The sequence below is a fragment of the Homo sapiens genome, chromosome 2, assembly GCF_000001405.40.
Source record: "Homo sapiens chromosome 2, GRCh38.p14 Primary Assembly".
Classification (NCBI taxonomy): Eukaryota; Metazoa; Chordata; class Mammalia; order Primates; family Hominidae; genus Homo; species Homo sapiens.
Window position 1 is genome coordinate 131,612,086 of NC_000002.12, and position 16,846 is coordinate 131,628,931.

Sequence of the window (16,846 nt, forward strand, 5' to 3'; positions counted from 1 at the left end):
CTCCCTCCTGCCACGCTCCTCCCTCAAGTAGACCCTGGTGCCTGTTATTCTCCTCTTTGTGTCCATGAGTTCTCATGTTTAGTTCCCACTAATGAGTAAGAATATGTGGCATTTGATTTTCTGTTCCTGCATTAGTTTGCTTAGGATAATGGCCTCCAGCTCCATCCGTGTTGCTGCAAAGGAAATGGTTTCATTGAAAAAGACATTTCATACACGGTTGGTAAATACATTTTGAACATTAATTGAGTAGCATATTCACACAACACACATATATAACAGAGTAAGCATATATAATACATATAAAGGATATTTGTATAGATATGTTACATGTATACTTACATATAAGGACATTTATTATAGCATTATTATATAAAAAATTTGGAGCTATTCTAATTCCTTATCAATAGGAAATAGCTCAATTTCCATACCCCCAAAATAATGTATTATGCAACCATTTTTAAAAAATGAGGTTAGATCTAGAGTATACTGATCATTTCACAATTAAAATGTATTTAAAGCGTTTAGTTTGATGACACATCTTAAGAGTTCTTGTTAGAATTCTTGTAGTATCTGCTGTGTTGCAAATGGAAGCTACATGCTACATTGACACTGTACCTTGTTAGCAACAAGATTGCTAGTTACTAAATTTTTGTTGTCAGTGCTGAAATATGGGACCCTCAATCTGAATATTGCCAAGGGATTGTACATGGGGATCTGTATTTAATATAAACATTTCAGTATATTGGGTAAAACTTTTATTAAAATACATCAAATAATCTTTGATCTACTAAACCAGGAGTTGGCCAGCTTTTTCTGCAAAGAGCTAGTCGGTAAATATTTTAGGCTTTGTGGACTACATATATGTATTTTCTTGAGACAGGGTCTCACTCTGTTTCCCAGGCTGGAGTGCAGTTGTGTGATCATGGCTGACTGCAGCCTCGACTTTCTGGGCTCTAGTGATCCTCCCACCTCAGCCTCTCTACTAGCTGGGACCACACGTGTGCAACATCACACCCAGGTAATTGACACTATGGACTGTAAAGTGAATAAGCATGGCTGTGTTCCAAGATACTTGACTTAAAAAAACAGGCAGTGGGCTGGATTTGGCCCACAGGTGCTTATTTGTTGACCCTAGTGCTAAAAGGAAGGTGCTGCTAATGCAGTGACTCCTACTTGTAAAAGTGCCCTGCGTGCGTGACATTATCCTTCCTTTGAGAAAAGGATATATTTCAGTATTCACCTCACCATATTTTTCCGGTGACTTCATATGATTTTGAAAACTTCATGTATAAAATAAGATTATTTCCTGCATTTCTCCCACTTTATTCCTGTTAATAGAACTCAGTATTTTACTGTGATCAGTTACTTTGTATATTTGATGAGTGTCAACTGTCCTAGAATTAGCTGATTTTTATCAAGCAAGAAATATTCTCCTTGAGACTTTTAGTATTTCTTGGTCTTTATGTATAAGCACGAACAAAATGATAATCAGCTTATGTAATCTAGAAATGTTCAAGGGGCCTTTAAAACCTTGGTCTGGCATTTTTAAATGCCATATGTGTATAATTTTTATAACCTTTAAAATATATAATTGTTACATAAAATTTGAAAACTCCACCTGTTATGTAAAATTTGGAAACTACTATTTCTTGTCTATCACTTTTCCATGACTGTGGACGAAAATTACATCATTCTCAGTCATGAGTGTTGAGTATGTTGTCCTTAAAGAACTGTCTACACTCATGAACTCAAATTTTCTTTCCATTCACTCTTGATCTCAATGCCGGTAAGTCTTCAATTTCAGCACTCCTCCAGAGTTGTTTTTCCTCCAGATTATCACTAATTTTTTTAAATTATACTTTAAGTTTTAGGGTACATGTGCACAATGTGCAGGTTAGTTACGTATGTATACATGTGCCATGCTGGTGTGCTGCACCCAGCAACTCGTCATTTAGCATTAGGTATATCTCCTAATGCTATCCCTCCCCGCTCCCCGCACCCCACAACAGTGCCCAGAGTGTGATGTTCCCCCTTCCTGTGTCCATGTGTTCTCATTGTTCAATTCCCACCTATGAGTGAGAACATGGGGTGTTTGGTTTTTTGTCCTTGCGATAGTTTACTGAGAATGATGATTTCCAATTTCATCCATGTCCTTACAAAGGACATGAACTCATCATTTTTTATGGCTGCATAGTATTCCATGGTGTATATGTGCCACATTTTCTTAATCCAGTCTATCATTGTTGGACATTTGGGTTGGTTCCAAGTCTTTGCTATTGTGAACAGTGCCGCAATAAACATACATGTGCATGTGTCTTTATAGCAGCATGATTTATAGTCCTTTGGGTATATACCCAGTAATGGGATGGCTGGGTCAAATGATATTTCTAGTTCTAGATCCCTGAGGAATCGCCACACTGACTTCCACAATGGTTGAACTAGTTTACAGTCCCACCAACAGTGTAAAAGTATTCGTATTTCTCCACATCCTCTCCAGCACCTGTTGTTTCCTGACTTTTTAATGATTGCCATTCTAACTGGTGCGAGATGGTATCTCATTGTGGTTTTGATTTGCATTTCTCTGATGGCCAGTGATGGTGAGCATTTTTTCATGTGTGTTTTGGCTTCATAAATGTCTTCTTTTGAGAAGTGTCTGTTCATGTCCTTCGCCCACTTTTTGATGGGGTTGTTTGTTTTTTTCTTGTAAATTTGTTTGACTTCATTGTAGATTCTGGATATTAGCCCTTTGTCAGATGAGTAGGTTGTGAAAATTTTCTCCCATTGTATAGGTTGCCTGTTCACTCTGATGGTAGTTTCTTTTGCTGTGCAGAAGCTCTTTAGTTTAATTAGATCCCATTTGTCAATTTTGGCTTTTGTTGCCATTGCTTTTGGTATTTTAGACATGAAGTCCTTGCCCATGCCTATGTCCTGAATGGTAATGCCTAGGTTTTCTTCTAGGGTTTTTATGGTTTTAGGTCTAACGTTTAAGTGTTTAATCCATCTTGAATTAATTTTTGTATAAGGTGTAAGGAAGGGATCCAGTTTCAGCTTTCTACATATGGCCAGCCAGTTTTCCCAGCACCATTTATTAAATAGGGAATCCTTTCCCCATTGCTTGTTTTTCTCAGGTTTGTCAAAGATCAGATAGTTGTAGATATGCGGCGTTATTTCTGAGGGCTCTGTTCTGTTCCATTGATCTATATCTCTGTTTTGGTACCAGTACCATGCTCTTTTGGTTACTGTAGCCTTGTAGTATAGTTTGAAGGTCAGGTAGCATGATGCCTCCAGCTTTGTTCTTTTGGCTTAGGATTGACTTGGTGATGTGGGCTCTTTTTTGGTTCCATATGAACTTTAAAGTAGTTTTTTCCAATTCTGTGAAGAAAGTCATTGGTAGCTTGATCGAGATGGCATTGAATCTATAAATTACCTTGGGCCAGTATGACCATTTTCACAATATTGATTCTTCCTACCCATGAGCATGGAATGTTCTTCCATTTGTTTGTATCCTCTTTTATTTCCTTGAGCAGTGGTTTGTAATTCTCCTTGAAGAGGTCCTTCACGTCCCTTGTAAGTTGGATTCCTAGGTATTTTATTCTCTTTGAATCAATTGTGAATGGGAGTTCACTGCTGATTTAACTCTGTTTGTCTGTTTTTGGTGTATAAGAATGCTTGTGATTTTTGTACATTGATGTTGTATCCTGAGACTTTGCTGAAGTTGCTTATCAGCTTAAGGAGATTTTGGGCTGAGACAGTGGGGTTTTCTAGATATACAATCATGTCATCTGCAAACAGGGACAATTTGACTTCCTCTTTTCCTAATTGAATACCCTTTATTTCCTTCCCCTGCCTAATTGCCCTGGCCAGAACTTCCAACACTATGTTGAATAGGAGTGGTGAGAGAGGGCATCCCTGTCTTGTGCCAGTTTTCAAAGGGAATGCTTCCAGTTTTTGCCCATTCAGTATGATCTTGGCTGTGGGTTTGTCATAGATAGCTCTTATTATTTTGAAATATGTCCCATCAATACCTAATTTATTGAGAGTTTTTAGCATGAAGCTTTTTTGAATTTTGTCAAAGGCCTTTTCTGCATCTATTGAGATAATCATGTGGTTTTTGTCTTTGGTTCTGTTTATATGCTGGATTACATTTATTGATTTGCATATATTGAACCAGCTTTGCATCCCAGGGATGAAGCCCACTTGATCATGGTGGATAAGGTTTTTGATGTGCTGCTGGATTCTGTTTGCCAGTGTTTTATCAAGGATTTTTTCATCAATGTTCATCAAGGATATTGGTCTAAAATTCTGTTTTTTGGTTGTGTCTCTGCCTGGCTTTAGTATCAGGATGATGCTGGCCTCATAAAATGAGTTAGGGAGGAGTCCCTCTTTTTCTATTGATTGGAATAGTTTCAGAAGGAATGGTACCAGTTCCTCCTTGTACCTCTGGTAGAATTCAGCTGTGAATCCATCTGGTCCTGGACTCTTTTTGGTTGGTAAGCTATTGATTATTGCCACAATTTCAGAGCCTGTTATTGGTCTATTCAGAGATTCAACTTCTTCCTGGTTTAGTCTTGGGAGGGTGTATGTGTCCAGGAATTTATCCATTTCTTCTAGATTTTTTAGTTTATTTGCATAGAGGTGTTTGTAGTATTCTCTGATGGTAGATTGTATTTCTGTGGGATCGGTGGTGATATCCCCTTTATCATTTTTTATTGCGTCCATTTGATTCTTCTCTCTTTTCTTCTTTATTAGTCTTGCTAGCGGTCTATCAATTTTGTTGATCCTTTCAAAAAACCAGCTCCTGGATTCATTAATTTTTTGAAGGGTTTTTTGTGTCTCTATTTCCTTCAGTTCTGTTCTGATTTTAGTTATTTCTTGCCTTCTGCTAGCGTTTGAATGTGTTTGCTCTTCCTTTTCTAGTTCTTTTAATTGTGATGTTAAGGTGTCAATTTTGGATCTTTCCTGCTTTCTCTTGTGGGCATTTAGTGCTATAAATTTCCTTCTACACACTGCTTTAGTGCTATAAATGCCCACATTTATAGCACTAAATGTGGGCATTTAGTGCTATAAATTTCCCTCTACACACCCAGAGATTCTGGTATGTTGTGTCTTTGTTCTCTTTGGTTTCAAAGAACATCTTTATTTCTGCCTTCATTTTATTATGTACCCAGTAGTCATTCAGGAGCAGGTTGTTCAGTTTCCATGTAGTTGAGCGGTTTTGAGTGAGTTTCTTAATCCTGAGTTCTAGTTTGATTGCACTGTGGTCTGAGAGACAGTTTGTTATAATATCTGTTCTTTTACATTTGCTGAGGAGAGCTTTACTTCCAACTGTGTGGTCAATTTTGGAATAGGTGTGGTGTGGTGCTGAAAAAAATGTATATTCTGTTGATTTGGGGTAGAGAGTTCTGTAGATGTCTATTAGGTCTGCTTGGTGCAGAGCTGAGTTCAATTCCTGGGTATCCTTGTTAACTTTCTGTCTTGTTGATTTGTCTAATGTTGACAGTGGGGTGTTAAAAGATTATCACTAATTCTTTTCTGTAATAAATCTAGGCATTTTTCTTTACACCTCATTTAATCTGTCAGCAATATTTCAGCCAATGGAGGGCATCTCTTCCCTAATGGCGTCTTCACTTGGCTTTCAGGACCTCACTCCCTCAGGCTTTTCCTCCTGACTTTCTAGTCCGTTCATCATGGTCTGTTTTGCTTGCTGCTCCTAATCTTTCTCCTTTTGGACATTGTTGTTTGTCATGGCTGAGTCCTCAATCTTCTTTCTCATAACTTTTTTTTTTTTTAAGACGGAGTCTCAGTTTGTCACCCAGGCTGGAGTTCAGTGGCATGATGTTGGCTCATTGCAACCTCTGCCTCATGGGTTCCAGCGCTTCTCCTGCCTCAGCCTCCTTAGTAGCTGGGATTACAGGTGCGCGACACCGTGCCTGGCTAATTTTTGTATTTTTAGTAGAGACAGGGTTTCCCCATGTTGGCCAGGCTGGTCTCAAACTCCTGACGTCAGGTAATCTGCCCGCCTTGGCCTCACGACGTGTTGGGATTACAGGCGTGAGCCACTGTGCCTGGCTCCTCGTGACCTTTTCTACTGTGTATATGCTAGTGATTTCCAAATGTATGTCTCCAGCTCAGATCTCTCTCCTTAATTTCAGATCTCTATATTAGCTCCCCTACTTGACATCTCTATTTGATTAGCTGTTGGGTATCACACACTTGTCAGATCAAAAATTGGGCTACTGATGTCCTTCCTGAAATCTACACCTCATGTAGTCTTTCCTACTTTGGTTAACGGCAGCTCTTCCAGTTGCTCTGCCAAAAACCTCAGTGTCATTCTTGACTCATCTTTCTCTCTGTCTTGACACTTCACATCTAATCTCTCAGTAAATCTCGTCAGGTCTACCTGAAGAATATATCCAGAAGCCAGTCTATCTTGTACATCTGAGCCACCGTCATCTGTAGTCTAGATGAGTGTCATAGACTTGGAATTGATAGTCCTGGTTTTTAAAAACTTCCCCTTTTGTCAATTCTTAACTCAGTGGATGTATTTAAAACATAAGTCAAATTGTGTCATTCCTCTGCCCCAGCCCTTCTGATTGCCTCCCATTTCACTCTGAGTATGTGCCAGAGTTCCTCCTAATAACTGAAAGGCAGTAAACCATCTGGCATGTTACCTCTCCTGCTTAAACTTCTGTTTCTTATGTCTTTTGCTCTGTTTCAGCCACACTGAACTTGTTGCTATTCCTTACCTACCCTACTGCTTAAAGATTCCAGGCACACCTCTGCACTTAGCAGTTCCATGTGTCTGGGATGCTTTTTCCCCAGATATTCTTCTAGCTTACTCTTTCCATTACTTCAGTTCTTTACTTAAAATCCCCTTTCCAAGAAGAAGAAAAAGGGTAAAAAGAAACACATTAAGGAATTACCACTTTTTGAGGAAGAACCATGTACCAGCACAATTCCTAGTCCAGAGAAAATGAAGAAAACGAAAAAAAAGAGAATGATTACTAACAGAAAGGAATTAGGATTGTATCACCAGGATGCGTCAGGCTTGAGATTCAATTGGGAGCATACCAGGGATGCTCTCTAACGTAATTGAGGGAAGGTTCAATGAAACAAAGTGATTTATCATCTCTAACTTCAAACCTATTTGTGTCTTGACATCAACTCTGTTAACATCATCATTTTTTAGAGTCTTTGATGTACAAATAAAAGTTTCTTCATATTAAAGAAAAATCTCTTTCTCAGCAGGGACTTTTCTGGCCATCCTAACTTTCCCACTACTCTTCCCATCAAAGACATGAACATTTCATTTTCCTGCTTTAGTTTTTCTCCTCTAACGTACTGTATATTTTGCCTTATCGGTCTGTTGTTCTTGTGTGTTTATCTCACTCTCATGAATAGGGGTTTTATTGTTCATTACCATATCCTCACTTCCTAGAAAAAGGCCTAGCATATCAGACGTAGCTACCTAATAAATAGGTATTAAATGAATGAATGGAGTTTATCCTGGGTATATTGTTTGATTGATTCTCACTTAAAAAATGTTCGATAAGGTGCATTTTAACAATTTTGCCTGGTAATTGTATGTATTTTTAAACTTCTTTTGGCTTTTTATAATTGGCTACGTTCTTTATATTAATATTTTTTCACTTAGGGAGAAAAGTCCAATATTGTGGTTATTCACTATTCTTTTACTGGTAATCATGATAATTGCAATTATGGTAAAATGAGTCAGAGGAATTGCAAACTTTACTGGTATTTTATGTATTTAGAGACAGAGTCTTGCTCTGTCACCCAGGCTGCAGTGCAGTGGCATGTCCTCATCTCACTCCAACCTCCGCCTCCTGGGTTCAATCGATCATCCTGCCTCAGCCACCTGAGGAGATAGGATTACAGGTGCATGCCATGACGCCCGGCTAATTTTCGTGTTTTTAGTAGAGATGGGATTCATCCTGTTTGTCAGGCTGGTCTCGAACTCCTGACCACAGGCAATCCACCTGCCTTGGCCTCACAAAGTGCTGGGTGGATTACAGGCATAAGCCACCACGTCTGGCCACTAGTATTTTATTTAAAAAAAATTAGGGTGGTAAATGTAATGGACTGACAAATTCTTTCCAAGGGATTGTGGACCTTTGGTATTTGACATAAAAAGACAGAGTTGGAATTTTTTGCTTCCTATAGTAACTGTATTTGTCAGGCAATGTCTATTCTGATGGAGCAGCTGTTGCTGCTTGGCTGTCTTTCAGAAGCAAGCTGCTCACATTGATATTGGTTGGTGAGCAAGGCCAGTGGTCATTGATCGATTGACTAGATTTTGAACTGGCTCTGGGTGGCGTCTTGTGACCATGGCTACAGGTCAATTCTTCCCTAAGTTTCAGTCAACTTTAACTAGAAATTTTCTGTTCAAAAGTTGCCTTCCATTAGATATGTTCAAAATGAAACTTTTTAATATTCCAGAATTGTGGATTTAAAGTTTTGATTATGATGACTTGGTTAATAATAGCTCTCACGAAGATTTTTTTTTTCATACATTGTCTTAACCAGAAGAATTCTCTGTATAGTTTATTTCTTAAAAATAATTGTTTTGCTTTTGTTTTTGGTATTTTTAGAAGCTTTTGCTATAATCTCCAGTAGGAGATTTTAGTCTCTTTGTCAGTTCATGTATGTATATGATAGTCATATTCTGTCTTTTTAAATTCCTTTTCATGTTCACTTTTTTCTCTGTACAATAATAGTGATATTGTTATACATTTTTATCTCATTAAAAAGTTGTTACAATTTTCTGCTGGCAAATCTAGCTTTTTCTATATTTTGACTGAATAGGTTAAAAGTGAAGAAAATTTACCAGATCATTTTATTTTCAAACAAAATCATAACTAACAAAAATTGCTATTTTGAATTATAAATAATGACATTTAGATATTTTAAAAATAAGGATAACCACCCCCCCCCAATAGTTTGGCTTTGTGTTTCTATGCAAATCTCATGCCAAATTGTAATTCCCAGGTGTTGAGGAAAGACCAGCTGGGAGGTGATTGGGTCATGGGGTCGGTTTCCTCCATGCTGTTCTTGTGATAGTGAGTGAGTCCTCACAAGAGCTGACGGTTTCATAAGGGGCTCTTTGCGCTTCACTTCTCTCTTCTCTCTCTCCTGCCGCCTTATGAAGAAGGTGCCTGCTTCCCCTTCCCCTTCTACCATGGTTGTTAAGTTTCCTGAGGCCTCCCCAGCCATGCGTAATTGTGAATCAATTAATCCTCTTTCCTTTATGAATTACCCAGTCTCAGGTATGTACGTGTATGAATTACCCAGTCTCAGGTATGTACGTATGTATATGTGTGAGTGTATATACACACATACATATATATGATACATATATGTGATGTGAGATATATATATGTATATACATCCAGTTTTTTTATTCCACTCATCAGTTGATGGACACTGGTTGATTCCATATCTTTGCATATTGTGAATTGTGCTGCAGTAAACATATGTGTGCGGGTGTCCTTTTGAGAGTACGATTTCTTTTATTTTGTGTAGATATCTGGAAATGAGAATGCTGGATAAAATGGTAGGATCTACTTTTAGTTCTTTGAGAACTCTCCATACTGTTTTCCATAGATTTGTATGAAGTTGCATTCCCACCAGCAGTGTATCACTGTTGTCTTTTCACCGCATCCACCCAACATCTGTTGTTTTTTGATTTCTAATAGTGGCCATTCTGGCTGCAGTGAGGTGATATCTCACTGTGGTTTTATTGTACATTTCCCTGATGATTAGAGATATTTAGCGTGTTTTTATATGCTTGTTTACCGTTTGTACATCTTCCTTTGAGAAATGTCTATTCATGTAATTTGGCCACTTTCTAATGGAATTATTTGTGTTTTTCCTGTTGATTTGTTTGAATTTCTTGTAGGTTATAGATATTATTAGTCCTTTGTTAGTGTCATAATTTTCAAATTTTTCCCATTGTATAGGTTGTTGTTTTACTCTGATGATTATTTCTTTTGCTGTGCTGAAGCTTTTTAGTTTAATTAGGTCTTATTTATTTATTTTCATTTTTGTTGGATTTGCTTTTAGGGTCTTCCTCATAAATCCTTTGCCTAGGCCAATGTTTTCAGGCCTTAGGTTTAGGCCTTTCATCCATCTTGAATTAAGTTTTGTATATGGTGAGAGATAGAGATCCAGTTTCATTCTTCCACATGTGGCTATCTTTTTTTCCCAGCACCATTTATTGAATAACCTGTACTTTCTCCAGTGTATGTTTTTGTATCCTTGCTCAGAGATCACTTGGTTGTAGTGGCTTTATTTCTGAGTTGTCTGTTCTGTTCCGTTGATCTATGTATCTGTTTTTATACGAGTACCACGCTGCTTCTGTTACTGTGGTCTTAGAGTATCATTTGAAGTCAGGTAATGTGATGCCAACATATTTGTTCCTTTTGCTTGGTATGTCTGTTGCTGTTCAGGCTCTTTTGTGGTCCTACATGAATGTCAGCATTTTAAAATAATTCTGTGAAGAATGACATTGGTACTTTGGTAGGAAGTGTATCGAATGTGTAGACTGCTTTGGGCACTATTGTCATTTTCACTATATCACTTCTTTCAGTACATGAACATAGGATGTATTTTCATTTGTTTGTGTCATCTATTATTTTTTTCGGTGGTGTTTTCCAGTTATCTTTATATAGATCACTCACTTTTTTCGTTAAGTATATTCTTAGGTATTTCACAGTGTTTTGCAGCCACTGTAAAAGGGATTGGATTGTTGATATGAACTCTCAGCTTGGTCGTAGTTGGTGTATAGTGGTGCTACTGATTGGTATTCATTTATTTTGTAACCTCTGAGACTTTACTGAATTCATGTATCAAATCTAGGAGTGTTTTGTAGGAGTCTTTAGGGTTTTCTAGGTATAAGATCATATCATTGGTGAAGAGATAGTTTGACTTCCTCTTTTCTAATCTGGATGCCCTTTATTCCTCTTGCCCAATTGCTCTGCCTAGGACTTCCCAGTTTTATTCTTAATATGCATGAAATAAAAGTAAAATGGAAGGTGCTTAACAATTAGTTTATTTCACATCTCTCTCATACACCGATAAAATTAATTCAAAGTCATATGTTAAAAACATAATATTAGACCCTGTGTTGTTCTAAAAGGAATTTCTAAGTTGTTTATAAAATACATAGGAATCAAGAATATAAGTGGAAAGTGTTTCCAAAAAATAAACATAAAAGTATGTGTTACAGGCCACGGACCAGTAGCAGTCCCTGGCCTGTTAGGACCTGGGCCACACAGCAGGAGGTTAGAGGCAGGTGAGTAAGTGAAGCTTCATCTGTTTACAGCCACTCTCTGTCACTCGCATTACCGCCCGAGCTCCTCCTCCTGTCATATCAGTAGTGGCATTAGATTGTCCTAAGAGTGTGACCTGAACCCTGTTGTAAGTTGCTCATGCAGGGGGATATAGGTTGTTCACTCCTTAGAATTGAATTCCTTATGATCTGTCACCATCTCCCGTCACCCCCAGATAGGACCATCTAGTTGCAGGAAAACAAGCTCAGGGCTCCCACTGATTCTACATTTTGGTGAGTTATATAATTATTTCATTATATATTAATAATAATAGAAATAAAGTGCACAATGAATGTAATGTTCTTGAATCCTGGAACCATCCCCCACCTCAGGTTCCTGGAAAAATTATCTTCCACAAAACCAGTCCCTGGTGCCAGCATGGTTGGGGACACCTGGTTAACAGATGTGAGACCCCTTTGCCTTGCTTGGAATAATGTGCAGATATACATTGTGTGAATGACATCTGATGGCGCCATCTTGCCCTGTAGATCATTTTAGGGACACCTCCAGTATTTCATGAAAATTAAAATTTCTTCTAATGATGAACAAAATGATACTCAGAAGCAACTTTCTGAAGAACAGAACACTGGAATATTACAAGATGAGATTCTGTTCATGAAGAAAAGCAGATAGAAGTGGCTGAAAAGAAAATGAATTCTGGGCCGGGCACGGTGGCTCACGCCTGTAATCCCAGCACTTTGGGAGGCCGAGGCGGGCGGATCACAAGGTCAGGAGATCGAGACCATCCTGGCTAACACGGTGAAACCCCGTCTCTACTAAAACTACAAAAAATTAGCCGGGCATGGTGGCGGGCGTCTGTGGTCCCAGCTACTTGGGAGGCTGAGGCAGGAGAATGGTGTGAACCCGGGAGGCAGAGCTTGCAGTGAGCCAAGATCGTGCCACTACACTCCAGCCTGGGTGACAGAGCAAGACTCCATCTCAAAAAAAAAAAAAAAAAAAAAAAAAAAAAAAAAAAAAAAAAAAAAAAAAAAATTCTGAGGTGTTTTCTTTAGTTATTTTCAAATGTTTTTATATGTGTATATATTTTTAAAAAACTAGATATTTTGGAAATATAAAGGATTTTTAAGTCATATATATGTGTGTATATATTCTATATATCCTTTGTCATGTACCTATATATGTACATATAGGATAAAGCCATGTTCTTAATTCACCTCCATTTGCCTGCAACAGTCGAGTAGTGACCTTCACAATGGCCTCAGTCCAGAGGAGAAGCATTTGATACTTTTCATAAGAATTGATGATCTTTCCATATAAAAAGTTTTGCTGCTGAAAACAGATTTTCTTGTTTTTGGACATTAGTTTTTAAAAAAGTGTTAATAGAGAAGTCAATTGATTGTTTTCACTGATAGGAAAGTAGGAAATGTATAGCTGGGTCAGAGGCCACATTGTGGATGTCATTATCCTTACTTTTGTGGAGAGGAACAGTTTGCTCCAAGTAGTTTCTCATTTCAATGTAAAGAGGTTAGAAAACAATGACATGCCATGATACACATTTAGTGATCATTTATTGATAAGTATTTTGTTCCTAGAGAAATAGTTCAGTATATTTCCCCTATTTCACAGTTACTACTGTTTCAAATATTATAAAGAGGAAATAAGTTATCACAATGGGAAATAATCTCATGATTTCTAAGAAAATCTCTATAAGTTGTATCTTATTTACCATTCATATTTTGAAACAAAAGGCTTCTTTTGTATTTATATATTTACACCACAGAAGTAACTGTGGTTTTGTGGAGGATCACTAGAAGTAGCATCAGCAGACCTGGGGAAAATCCTGCATCTGTGTATATTTTTTGACCTCTCCTTTTAAGAATCGCGATCTTAAATGAGTTCAGTATTGTATGTAGAAGTGCAATGCCTAGATACAGATGTGTACAGTGTGGAAGGGTACAGTGCTTAGATTTGACAGTTATAAATAAATGTAATTCTTATAACTGAGTATAGAAATATTAGAAATGTAGAATATCAGTAAAACGTTCTTCAGTAAAAGAAACTTAAAGAACTTTGAGAAATTGCTTCTGTCCAAATATATGCATAGCAAGGCTCTTAGGATGGTGTGGTTGATAGGTTAGATATCAGAGAGTAAACCTAATCTTAAAAATATAGTCAAATGTATTAATCTTATATTTTATGCCTCTGGGTTTTTTGTAACTCACAGAAAGTCTTTTTTAATTCTGAGATTCTTAAAAATCCTCTAGTGATTTATTTTTCATAGTCTTTAAATAAATATTTAAACTTTTAGGAATTCAGGAGAAGATTCCTAAAAGTTTAAATATTTATTTAAAGACTATGAAAAATAAATCACTAGAGGAATTTACACTCTATTAGGTTTGAAGTTTTGTCCAATTTTTTTCCAGTTAAATATCCACTATGTGGATTCTTTCATTATACAAATACACGTTATTTTTTAATTTCAGAAGAAATCATGATATGTCAATCTATTGAGTGCTAACTAAAAGTTCCCTTTGTTTACTTAGCTTTCTCTTAGTTATAAGAAAGAAAAAGACTTCTTGCATGAAAATAGTACGTTGCAGGAAGAAGTTGCCATGCTAAGACTGGAGCTAGACATAATGAAACATCAGAGCCAGCTAAGAGAAAAGAAATATTTGGAGGAAATTGAAAGTGTGGAAAAAAAGAATGATAATCTTTTAAAGGCTCTACAATTGAATGAGCTCACCATGGATGATGATACCGCTGTGCTCGTCATTGACAACGGCTCTGGCATGTGCAAGGCCGGCTTTGCGGGCGACGATGCCCCCCAGGCTGTCTTCCCTTCTATCGTGGGGCGCCCCAGGCACCAGGGCATGATGGAGGGCATGCATCAGAAGGAGTCCTATGTGGGCAAAGAGGCCCAGAGCAAGAGAGGCATGCTGACCCTGAAGTACCCCATGGAGCATGGCATCATCACCAACTGGGACGACATGGAGAAGATCTGGCACCACACCTTCTACAATGAGCTGCGTGTGGCTCCTGAGGAGCACCCCATCCTGCTGACTGAGGCCCCCCTGAACCCCAAGGCCAACCGTGAGAAGATGACCCAGATCATGTTTGAGACCTTCAACACCCCAGCCATGTACGTGGCCATCCAGGCCGTGCTGTCCCTATACACCTCTGGCCGTACTACTGGCATCGTGATGGACTCTGGTGATGGGTTCACCCACACTGTGCCCATCTATGAGGGGAATGCCCTCCCCCATGCCACCCTGCGCCTAGACCTGGCTGGGCGGGAACTGACTGACTACCTCATGAAGATCCTCACCGAGCGTGGCTATAGGTTCACCACCACGGCCGAGCAGGAAATTGTGCGTGACATCAAAGAGAAGCTGTGCTATGTTGCCCTGGACTCCGAGCAGGAGATGGCCATGGCAGCCTCCAGCTCCTCCGTAGAGAAGAGCTACGAGCTGCCCGATGGTCAGGTCATCACCATCGGCAACGAGCGGTTCCGCTGCCCCGAGGCGCTCTTCCAGCCTTGCTTCCTGGGCATGGAATCCTGTGGCATCCACAAAACTACCTTCAACTCCATAGTGAAGTCTGATGTGGACATCCGCAAAGACCTGTACACCAACACAGTGCTGTCTGGCGGCACCACCATGTACCCTGGCATCGCCCACAGGATGCAGAAGGAGATCACTGCCCTGGCGCCTAGCATTATGAAGATCAAGATCATTGCTCCTCCCAAGCGCAAGTACTCCGTGTGGGTCGGTGGCTCCATCCTGGCCTCGCTGTCCACCTTCCAGCAGATGTGGATCAGCAAGCAGGAGTATGATGAGTCAGGCCCCTCCATTGTCCACCGCAAATGCTTCTAGGTGGACTCTGACTTAGTTGCGTTACACCCTTTCTTGACAAAACCAAACTTCTCAGAAAACAACATGAGATTGGCGTGGCTTTATTTGTTTTCTTGTTTCATTTTTTGTTTTGTTTTTTATTGGCTTGACTCAGGATTTGAAAACCGGAACGGCGAAGGTGATAGTAGTCGGTTGGAGCGAGCTTCCCCCAAAGTTCTACAATGTGGCCAAGGACTTTGATTGTACATTGTTCTTCTTTTCAATAGTCATTCCAAATATTGTGAGACGCATTGTTTCAGGAAGCCCCTTGCCCTGCTAAAAGCCACCCCACTTCTCTCTAAGGAGAATGGCCCAGTCCTCTCCCTAGTTCACACAGGGGAGGTGATAGCATTGCTTTCGTGCAGATTACGTAATGCAAAATTTTTTGAATCTTCGCCTTAATACTTTTTAACTTGTTTTATTTTGAATGATCAGCCTTCATGGCCCCCCTTTTTTGTACCTCAACTTGGGGTATATGAAGGCTTTTGGTCTCTCTGAGAGTGGCTGGAGGCAGCCAGGGCTTACCTGTACTCTGACTTGAGGAGAGTTGGATAAAAGTGCACACCTTAAAAAAAATTGAATGAGGAAGCACAGTATTTCAGTACAGTGGACAGCTTAGCATGTTGACAACTGAGAATAAAATGCTCAGTTCTGAACTGGACAGTGTAAGACACAACGAGGAAACACTGGAAATGGAAATTCAATTACGTCATTGTAGACTGGCTACTGCTCTACATGATTGTGACCAAAGTCAGATAGCTGAAAGAGACTTCTTTCCAGAGAACAAGACATGAGCAGGTTTATTTACAGAAGACAATGAATTCTCATTTATCTCACCTAAAATATAACAGATTCCTTCTCAACAAGTCTAATGAAGACAGTAAAATCAACAGGCTAAAAATTAAGCTCCATGAAACAAGATAAAACTCTGAGAGAAAAGACGGGGCAGGCTGCCATCTTTCCCGTTCAGGCAACTTAGTCATTCCAGCCTGCGGGCTTTGGAGAATACAAACCGACGAGGGACAGAAGAGATCCCACAGCACAGCATAGCTGCTTTACCAAATCATGGCCAGACTGCTTCTGTAAGCAGGCCTCTGATCCTGTTCCACCTCACTGGACAGGACCTCCCAACTGGGGCCTCCAGCTACCCCCACCAGCATTCCTTGGCCAATGGAAATGTGAAATGTTCCTGGGACAGAGCTCCCGGAGAGAGGGACAGGCCCCCACCTTTGCTGTTTTGGCGACTAGCCTTTCTGGCCTGCGGGCTTTGGAGAGCCCAAGCTGACAAGGGGTGGAAGAGGTACCTCAGCACAGCACAGCCACGCTACAAAAACGTGGCCAGACTCTTGTTTACGTCAGTCCCTGATCACATTTCTAGTCAGTGGGTGAAGTCTTTCAACCAGGGTCTCTGGCTACCTTGACTGCTGTTGTCTGGCTGACAGAGGTCTCAGGCTTCCCTGAGTCAGGGCTGCCAGGGGGAGGACCAGATTGTCATCTTTGCTTTTTGGGCGACCCAGCCATTTCAGCCTTAGGGCTTCAGAGTGTCTGAGGTGACCAGGGGCTGAAGTGAACCCCCAGCACAGCACAGCTGCTCTATAAAAACGTGGCCAGACTTTTTTTTTAAAGCAAGTCCCTGTGCTTGTTCCT

General features: G+C 39.6%; 1 pseudogene across 1 annotated transcript in view; it reads left to right on the forward strand.

The window, feature by feature from the left end:
• The window catches only part of POTEKP (POTE ankyrin domain family member K, pseudogene), a 34,388-nt pseudogene extending 20,044 nt beyond the window's left edge, over positions 1–14,344 (forward strand). Inside the window, exons 9-10 of the transcript NR_033885.3 lie at positions 901–1,018; positions 13,853–14,344. The product of NR_033885.3 is annotated as a POTE ankyrin domain family member K, pseudogene (transcript). The remainder of the gene's footprint in view (positions 1–900; positions 1,019–13,852) is intronic.
• The last annotated feature ends 2,502 nt before the right edge of the window (positions 14,345–16,846 follow it).